Source organism: Homo sapiens, chromosome 8, assembly GCF_000001405.40.
Source record: "Homo sapiens chromosome 8, GRCh38.p14 Primary Assembly".
NCBI lineage: Eukaryota > Metazoa > Chordata > Mammalia > Primates > Hominidae > Homo > Homo sapiens.
The window spans coordinates 106051860-106061751 of NC_000008.11; the positions used below are offsets into that span (position 1 = coordinate 106051860).

At 38.4% G+C, this 9892-nt stretch overlaps 1 long non-coding RNA gene across 2 annotated transcripts in view, besides 1 other annotated feature; it reads right to left on the reverse strand.

Moving 5' to 3' along the window:
- ZFPM2-AS1 (ZFPM2 antisense RNA 1) overlaps positions 1 to 8644 on the reverse strand; it is a 280094-nt gene extending 271450 nt beyond the window's left edge. The window contains exons 1-2 of one of the 2 annotated variants that reach the window (NR_125796.1): positions 8522 to 8644; positions 7222 to 7277 (exon numbers count right to left, since the gene is read on the reverse strand). This is a non-coding gene — a long non-coding RNA (ZFPM2 antisense RNA 1). The remainder of the gene's footprint in view (positions 1 to 7221; positions 7278 to 8521) is intronic. The other variant, NR_125797.1, reaches the window with a different exon arrangement.
- Positions 8139 to 9338: an enhancer, noted in NCBI's record as "P300/CBP strongly-dependent group 1 enhancer chr8:107072226-107073425 (GRCh37/hg19 assembly coordinates)". NCBI's record gives its function as "activates an origin of replication core promoter dependent on BRD2, BRD4, P300/CBP, MED14 and CDK7 cofactors, with strong dependence on P300/CBP, by STARR-seq in HCT116 cells {active_cell/tissue: HCT116}" and the evidence as "EXISTENCE:reporter gene assay evidence [ECO:0000049][PMID:35650434]".

Below are 9892 nucleotides of genomic sequence, written 5' to 3' on the forward strand. Positions count from 1 at the left end.
CCATTAGAAAGCTGAGTGTGCAGAACAACCAAGTAGCCTGCAATCTAAGGAAAGAGAGCTGTCTCCAGGAAGAGATGAACTGAACACTGGCTTATCTGTTGCAGAGCACACACAACACACACACACACACACACACACACACACACGCACGCACACACACACAAAAGCTAAGAACCAGCAAATGGATGAGAAGAGTTTGGCTAGTTTTCAAAAATTGCTAAAAGCCAAATTGCTAAAAACTGCTAAACTGTGAGGGTATAGATCCTCCAGGAGCCTCAGGTACTAGGAGAGTTCATGCTTGCTCCATGAACCTCAATAGATGCTCATAAAAAAAAAAATTGAACAGGAGACCCAAGAAAACCTCTCTCAGTAGGGCAAACCTGAGGGATTAAAAAGAAAAATAATCCTGTGGTACTAGGGGAGGAGAAATAATTACCCTAGGCTCAGATCATTAGAAGCCTTTGCTATTTGGGGAAGTATAAAATCACTGAGAAAGCCTCACCCCAAGATTCAGTGACATGAGGTTTACCTAGGATGAGGGCAGGAACAGGACAAAAGAAAACTTTCCAAGTTTTGTAACATGCAAGCAAGCTCCAAGTAACAAGCACAAATAATCACTACTACTGCAGAAGAAAGAGGCTGAACAAATAATCCTGCCATCATGCAGGCACAGAAGGAAGACCAAAAGCTGAGACTGAAGCAGGCACATTGAGAAAAAGACTCCGCTACTTCCACCCCACCCTATACCCCACCCTAATTATAAGATACAGATGCTTCTCAACTTATGATGGGGTTATGCCTACATAAACTCACTGTAAATTGAAAACACCTGAAGTCAAAAATCTATTTCATATACCTAACCTACTGAATATGATAGCTTAGCCTAGACTAGGCTCAGAACATTTACAGTGGCCTACAGCTGGGGAAAAGCATCTCACACAAAAATTATTTTATAATAAAGTGCTGCATATATCATGTAATTTATTGAATACTGTACTGAAAGTGAAACACAGAAGGGTTGTATGGATACTTGAAGTAGTTTTTACTGAATGTGGATCACTTTCACACCACTGCAAAGTCAAAAATTCCAAGTTGAATCATCCTAATTCAGAGATCATCTGTAATTTCAGAGAAATTTGAAGTTGGTGGTATACTAAAGGAGGCATAGCAGCAACAAAACCCAAACCCAGCTCAAGTTCTGAATAGATGGACTCAGTCTCCCCACACTAATAGTCTGGCAGAAAATGGGTATGTGGGCATTCACCCTATAAATAACACCCAAAGTTTAAATTTCAAAATTATGAGATATACAAAACGCAAGAGGAAAAATTTCTATTAAAAGGCAAAGCAAAAATAAAAATAACAGAGCCAGACCCAGGTTTTAGAACTGTCAGAGAGGTTATCTAAAATAACTCTGATTATTATGCAAAAGGCTTTAATCGAATAGGTAGATAACATGCATAAACAGATGAAAATGTTAGTAGAGAAATGGAAAATATACAAAAAAGTCTAATGGAGATTCTGGAAATGAAAATCATAAAAATAGAGGAAGAATGTATTTGACAGAGCCAAAAGGTGAAAAAGTAAAAAGCAGAAAAGAAAAAAGGGGCGTCCAAGAACTATGAGAAAATATCAAAGTCTAATATATAGGTAATGGAATTCTACAGTAGAAGAGAGAGAGATTTGGGTAGAAGAAATACCCGCAGAGAAAGGTCAGAGAATTTTCCAGAACTTCAAATCACAAATCCAAGAAGCTCATAGAACCCCAGATATGATAAAGACAACACACAGAACACCTATACATATCAACTTTAAACTGATGGAAACGGAAGATAGAATAAATCTTTAAGTCAGCCAGAGAGGAAATAAAAGACATATTACATAAAGAAGGATAAAGGTGATAAATACGGTACACATCTTGTCATGAATTATGCGACCCAGAAGATAACATCTTCAAAGTGCCTAAAACAAAAACAGAAACAAAAGCCTATAAATCCAGAATTCAATAACAGTGAAAAGAAATATTTCTCAGACAAACAAAACTAAGAAAATTTATTACCAGCAGACCTGTACCACAAAAAAATTATTGAAGGAATTTTTCAGGTGAAAAACTCTCTAGAATATGATGCCAGATAGAAACTAGAGTCTATACACATATATACAAAAAAGTGAAGATCTTTAGGAATGGTTAAAATAAAGATAAATGCAAAAGACTTTTCTCTCACTTTAAATTACTCAGAAATTTAGGAAATATGATTAGCACACTTTTTTCTAAAGAGCCAGATAGTAAATATTTTAGGCTTTTCAGGTCCCTGTTGCAACTAGTCAAAAGTAGCCATGGAAAATATGTCAACAAATGGATGTTCTGTGTTCCCATAAAACTTTATTCAGAAAAATAAATTGCAACCTGCTATTGGCCCTTGGGCTTTAGTTTGCCAACCTCTGTTCTAAAGGAAAAAAACAGCAATATATTGCATATATATATATATATATATCATATGTAAAATAAAATATAGGATAACAGTAGAAAAAGCAGAAGAGAGGAACTGAGACTATACTCATGTAGGATTCTTACATGAGATAGTGTAAATCTATATATATATATATATCACATGCTATAATAATAATGTAGTATATATAGGGTAAGTATAGAATATTATTTGAAGTTAGGCTGGATGAATTGAAGATGTTTACTGTAAACCCCAATGCTTATTCTTCATCGAGTATCTCTTAGACATGAAATTTGTGATGCTGGCTAGTCAGAGTTGGAGATGTGATTGTGGAGAGGGAAACTTAACATCTGAGCAACTTAACAGCTTTTAGTGTGTAGTCAACAAAAATATATGTCGTATAATTTATGTAAGTATATAATTCATATAAATTCAAGTATTTGACTAATGACTTCAAAGAGGTGACTCACTGCTCTTTATTGTCAGCTTTTTCTCAGTGGATTTTTTCCCAAAGGTTAAAAAGCTCTGAGAAATGAACTAGATTTTCCAAGTACAAAGAAAAGCAGATGCCTGTTTTATGAAAAATCCACCATAAATAATTCAGTATCAATTGCTGATTTGTGGATCATCTCCTTGAAGTGTTTGCAAATGGACATACATTTTGTTGATTTAAATTTGTAGTGTCAATAAGAAATGTTGATGAAATGTTGATTAATTATTCCCTGTATAAGTTTTGCACAACTTGCTCTGTGTGTATTTGGTGGGAGGTGAAATATAAAACAAAACGAATAAAAACTATAAAACATCAGAAACCACTAAACATAGGCATAAAGTATGATCTACATAGTTCAGTGGCCTGCAGTAATCTTTTTTTTTTCCCCTAAAACCAAAGAAATCCATTTCAGGAAAATTAAAGCAAACAAAATATTTCCTACTCTTGCATTAAGTCACAGTGGGATTTAGTCTTCTTCTGAACACTTGGAGGAACTCACAATGCACATAAGACATTGACAGTAATGCCTGCAGGAACTCTGACAATGATGAATAGTAAATCTTTAAATAAATGAGCCTTGGCATGTATGTTGCAGACAGTGTTGTTTGTCATGCACACAGCCTCTTGTTCCTCCAAAAGAGCAACAAGGCAATGCATTAAGATATATTTTCCCCAGCTCAGTCGATGTTTCTGAAAAGCCTTAACATGGACAGGAACATGATGTAAAATTGGTACTAGAAGATAAAGTGCAATGTAATGTCATGATTGCCAGATGAGGCCAAGGGCATACGAAACATGGCTATCTGATAGACACTGAAGGAAGGCTTTTCTCCACTTAGAACTCACACAAAGGGTGCTTTAATTAACATGCCTGGGTTACAGATCTCCTAATCACCATGATTCACAGGTTAAATTAAAATTAACAACACCACACAATTGCTCATCTATTGAGAGAACACAGCTGTCCCCAACGAAAAGGAATAAAAACAGCAAGTCAAAATACGGAAGTGGAAGGCTCGAGGATGCTTCTGGTTTTTCATCTTCCAGTCTCCAGCAGCCTTCCTTTTGCTTTTCTTTAGTGGGCTTGTGGATATTTTTCTCCCTTTTGTTATTATGCGGCATCTGCAGCTGCATCTTCCTTTTGTGAAAGGCCACAAAAGGAGATTCTGGTAGCACTGTGGTATCAGAGTGAATGTTGACTGACCCTCAGCATTTCTCTACCAAAATTTAGCCAAAGAAAGGACTAAAGTCCCGGGAGTGGTGACCTACACCTATAATCTCAACACTTTGGGAGGCTCAGGTGGGTGGATCACTTAAGGTCAGGAGTTCAAGACAAGCCAGGCCAACATGGTGAAACGCTGTCTCTACTGAAAATACAAAAATCAGCCAGGTGTGGTGGCAGGCACCTGTAATCTCAGCTACTTGGGAGGCTGAGGCAGGAGAATCACTGGAACCCAGGAGGCAGAGGTTGCAGTGAGCTGAGATCATGCCACTGTACTCCAGCCTGGGCAACAGAATGAGACTCAGTTTCCACACACACACAAAAAGTACTAAAGCAACTCTTATTATTTTTGTTTCCTAATATGTATAATATATTCATTATATCAATTTAAAATATTACTAAATATGGAAATGAGACAAAAGGCAAATACAAACAAATTCAGCCCTTGGGGACTTAAATTTAACAGTAACCTGGAGTCTAGTAAGTCAGTATGATACATTTTGGATCAAGTAAACAGTGATGTCTAATCCCATTAGGTCAGACAGTTCTGTGAGAACCTAATGAAAAACAGTGAACTCTTACCCCAAACAAATTCACTAAAGATGTTAACACAAAATTGTATTGTACAAATTCAGAAAGTTTTGAACCCACTGAAGTTGATTTGTCAAACAATTAAAAATACTTGGTCAAAACAAATCATCTTCCTTCAATGACTGAAATAATCATCACAGATTCTTCAGTGTGATTATATTCCTTAAGTGATATACACTATTAGAGAAAATAATTAAATATCTTAGCAAAACACAGTTTATATTAAAGAATTCCTAGAGTTTCAGGCTTCCGTTCTCCAAATTTGTTCCCCGTGGTTCAGTCTTCCCAGAGAATTACTTAGTTTTTTATTTATTTATTTTTTACCATGTATCCTGTTCAGATGTTCACAGCCTAAGAACAAAATTATCCATCCTTTTAATCAAATCTTCACCCAGGTTCCTTGCCGTGTGTACAGCTCTCGCAAAGCAAGGCACAAAAGCACCCACAGTGCAAGCTCATGTGATTCCCTTTGCTCAAACCAATGCTTTATTTTTCCTTCCTGATTAACAGCACAAGAAAAAAGTAACCCAGAAAAATCATTTTACATTTTGTTCAGTTGTCACATAACAAAAACAAAACTAAACAAACTAAAGTGACTACATAAGGCTTTTTGTATCTACCACTCTGGTTGATTGGATATTACTTTGGTATATTAAATCAGCAATTTTTGCTCCTGTTTTGTGAATCTCTTTATGTGAAAAAGTATTAAGCTATAACAATTGAGTTGTATCTAGTTACACATAATTTGCACATTTAGCTCCACATTTAATACATTGATTTACTATAAAAGAATAGTTGAAATCAGGACTGTTTCAGAGAACTCTGTATTTGTCCCCTATTACTAAGAATCGTAATAGAAACTACAAATCACTATTTCTCCACCAGATAGATTCCATCCTCAGAAATTCTGATGCAGTTTGTTTGGGGTACAGCCTGAGCATCAAGAGTTTTAAATGCTTGGCCGAGTGCGGTGGAAGCACTTTGGGATCATGAGGTCAGAAGTTAAAGACCGGCCGGGCGCGGTGGCTCACGCCTGTAATCCCAGCACTTTGGGAGGCCGAGGCGGGTGGATCATGAGGTCAGGAGATCGAGACCATCCTGGCTAACAAGGTGAAACCCCGTCTCTACTAAAAATACAAAAAATTAGCCGGGCGCGGTGGCGGGCGCCTGTAGTCCCAGCTACTCGGGAGGCTGAGGCAGGAGAATGGCGTGAACCCGGGAAGCGGAGCTTGCAGTGAGCCGAGATTGCGCCACTGCAGTCCGCAGTCCGGCCTGGGCGACAGAGCGAGACTCCGTCTCAAAAAAAAAAAAAAAAAAAAAAAAAAAAAAAAAAAAAAAAAGAAGTTAAAGACCAGTCTGGCCAACATGGTGAAACCCCATCTCTACTAAAAATACAAAAATTAGCCGGGCATGGTGGCGTGCTCCTGTAGTCCCAGCTACTCGGGAGGCTGAAGCAGGAGAATCACTTGAACCTGGGAGGCAGAGGTTGCAGTGAGCCGAGACTGTGCCATTACATTCCAGCCTGGGCAACAGAGCAAGACTCCATCTCAAAACAAAACAAAAAGAGTTTTTTTTTTTTTATTATTATTATACTTTAAGTTTTAGGGTACATGTGCACAACATGCAGGTTAGTTACATATGTATACATGTGCCATGTTGATGTGCTGCACCCATTAACTCATCATTTAACATTAGGTGTATCTCCTAATGCTATCCCTCCCCCCTCCCCCCACCCCACAGCAGGCCCGTTTTAAAAGCTCCCCAGTTGAACTTAATATGCAACACAGTTTAAAAGCCACAGATATAAATAAATATTTTAAATAAGAATATAATATGCTTGTCTTATAGCAGGTCTATCTGTAGATGGCATTTCTCTTCATTATCACATAGTTTAAGCCAGTGCTTCCCATCATTTTAAAATCACGGTGTACACAGAAAACTGTGATAGATTATATAGCTCACCGAGGGTAAATAGAGCAGGTTGTATGGAGCAGAAGTAACCAGCCCAGAAACCTCAGCTGCTCCAGTTGGAGCCAAGCTTCCCAGGGCAAAAGGTCAGCATCAAGGCCCACGGGTAACCCATTCCTTCCTGCTCAAAGATGGAGGCATTATGCCTGAAATTATACTAAAGTGTAGAGTCAACAAACAACAGAAGGAAGACGTAAGTATACATGAAAACTAATTGCATTGATTTTTCTCTCTTTTTTTATGAGGCTCCTGGGTTTCAGGCCGGTTTAAAAAAGGATTTTCACAGACTAGAATGAGCCTGTGAGTACATAGGCAATCTCAGAGTACTTCAGGAGGCACACGTGACACAAACTCATCCTTCATTCTGAATTAATGGCCAAAGAAACGCAAATTTTGCTTAAATCTAGAGTCATTCCAGCTCAAGTTCCACCAATATTATTCTGACCCTCTTCCTCAAGGCTAGACAAGGTTGGGAATTGTCATTTCCTTTATCTTACCTTAAGCTCCACTATGAGAGAAGTGTGAAGAACTTAATAATCACCAGCACCAGAACCTAATTAAGAATGGATTTGAAAGCTATAAAATCATAGCAATATAAGAAAGGAAGAAAGATCCATTTTTATTAAAAGTACATCTTTTTAATAGAAATAAAGAACATATAGCATATGGAATGAGAATACAAAATAAGACAGAAAAAGCTGATTTTAATTGTGCTTAATTAAGAACTGTACATGTGGGATTATGAAAAAGAAAAGAATAGTTGGCTTCAATTACTTTTTGCCAAAAAACAGATAGGATGAAATGTAGCTTTTAAAGTATAAAATTAAATCATTCAAGAGGGGTTGTACTGAGGTAAATTTCATATTTTAAACTTTTGCAGCTGGTAAATAACAATGTTCAAAGGTTTTACTTAAGTTATTTCAAACTCAAATTTCGGAGATCAGGAGGAGTAATGTGTAAGAACTTTTTCCCCCAAAATATTTATGAAGCATCAACTGTGAGCAGTGCCGTATTTCCTGTCTATACTGACAGTCTAATTCAAAACCAAGATATAGTTACCATGAGTGAAACTGCTCCTGTAAACTTTATAAATTCAATCAGGGAAGAAGGGACGGGGAGAAATGAAAATAAAGCAAGCTTGCAGCACACCCAGCATTAATCATTATGTTAGATGCTCTGTGATCCATTCCTCATAGTTGTTTGCCTATTGCCTCCGAATTACATAGACCCTGTTACAAGATTACCGTTCCCCTTCACTGCTCTACAGATAAAAACTTAAAATACCTCAAAGGGAAAACATAAGTTCTATTCTTTCAAGTCCTGCAAGCCCTGTAAAAGAATGAAACTACTGACATCAGCTAGTCTGAAGGACCCCACAAGAAGCTGACTCACCAAAGAATGCAGTTTCTACATCCTCATGATGTCATCCCCCTTACCCCAAATATCAACAATCTCAATGCTCCAACCTCTCACCCTCCATGATCCCATTAAAAACCCCAGCCAAGTGCTCCTTGGGGAGACGAACTTGAGGGTCTCCTCCCATCTCCTCACTTGGTATCCGGTGAGCATTAAACTCTTTCTCTGCTGTAAACTCTGTTGTCTCAGTGTAACTGATCTGTTACTGTACAGTGGTCCTGTGTACTTGCTAGTCCTATAACAGGAAGAGGAGGAAAAAAGAAGGAAAGAAGTAGGAGAAAGAGGAGCAGGAAAAGAAAACATGTTGAGAAGTATTTACTTGCCTCACTTCAAAGAATATCACAGACATTAACAATCTTACACTCTGGAGAAAGTACTTACTCTTTGAGGTTCAAATTCTTTGTTGATAAGATGTGTACAGGAATTTCTGCTGGTGGATTCATTGTAGGAAAAGGTAGAATGCGTACTACATACTGTAAGGAAAACGGATGTGCTGCGGTCAAGAATAGGTCGAAGCAGACATCCGGTCCAGCATGACTCAGTGAGTTTGGAGCTCACTCACACAACTCAGCTCATTAGGTAACCACGCCACGTGAGGCGCATTAGTAACCAGTCACGTGAGCGCGTGCTTGATTCAGAGCCACTGTCGTCTGTAAAAGTTATAACTACACTGCTGATGCTGTACATATGGCTTATGCGCAGAGAGAGAGAAAAGCCATGTCAAAACTGTCTACGATTCCCCCAGTGTTTTTCCGGCTACCCACCACTCACCCACTGACTCCCCTCGGACCTCAGTTAGAACCTGACACATACCTTGAACAATCCTGGGCACATAGAATGTAGGTTTGTGGTTGAATACCCTCACCACCTCCATCTTAGTATATTTAAAGCTAAAGTCACAGCTTTTCTCCTTACATTAAAGCATCCTTCTCTTTTGAATTGTTGCATTCTATTTTATCTGCCCAATATTTCTTAGAGGCGATGTTTTCACTTCTTACCATCACCTCATGAGTTAAAATTTTGATACTTAACTCTTTAGTTATTGTAGTATCTACCTAATTGATGTTTTTCCTTTCTACCTTTGCAAATTGCCTGTTCCAAATATAAGTAGAAACAAGCAAGAAAGAACTCTGAAGGATAATTCATCTCAGCTGGAACCCATGGCCTCATAGGGGCTTCCTTACAATCAACTAACTGAAGGGGAAAAGCCTGAGCTTGGTCCATGGGATCAGTTGGCTGATAGGTTAGTAAAAGTATAAAATGGTATGCCATCACTCCAGCCCCACCCAGGGACTGCCTGAAGACTGGGGGTAAAGGAACATCCTCTCAATGAGCAGAACTGCAAGCAAACCTGGTTATTCATCTTGGCTGCAAAGAAGAGTAATATGAGGTAAAGATATATGGAACTGCTGGGCTTGTCTTCATGGGCAGAAGCCTGGTAGTGGCAAGACTAGAAGAGAGTAAAAATGAAATTTGTGTTGAGGCAAGTTTATGAACCTATTGGAGTAGTACAAAGGGTGTGGAGGATTGCTGGCACATTAATGCCTGTAGGAGAACATCTGCTACATAAGAAGCACTCAACAGCTAGGGAGGAAGGATGACTTATTCTGTGGATATCAGCCAACCTCCTCAACCACCTAGATTATGCACAGTGGATATATGAGCACAAAGTCAGGAATAGAGTCTATGCACAGACCCAAAGCATGGACCTCCTAATGTTGATCTAGCTACTGCTTCTACTGATTATTCTAT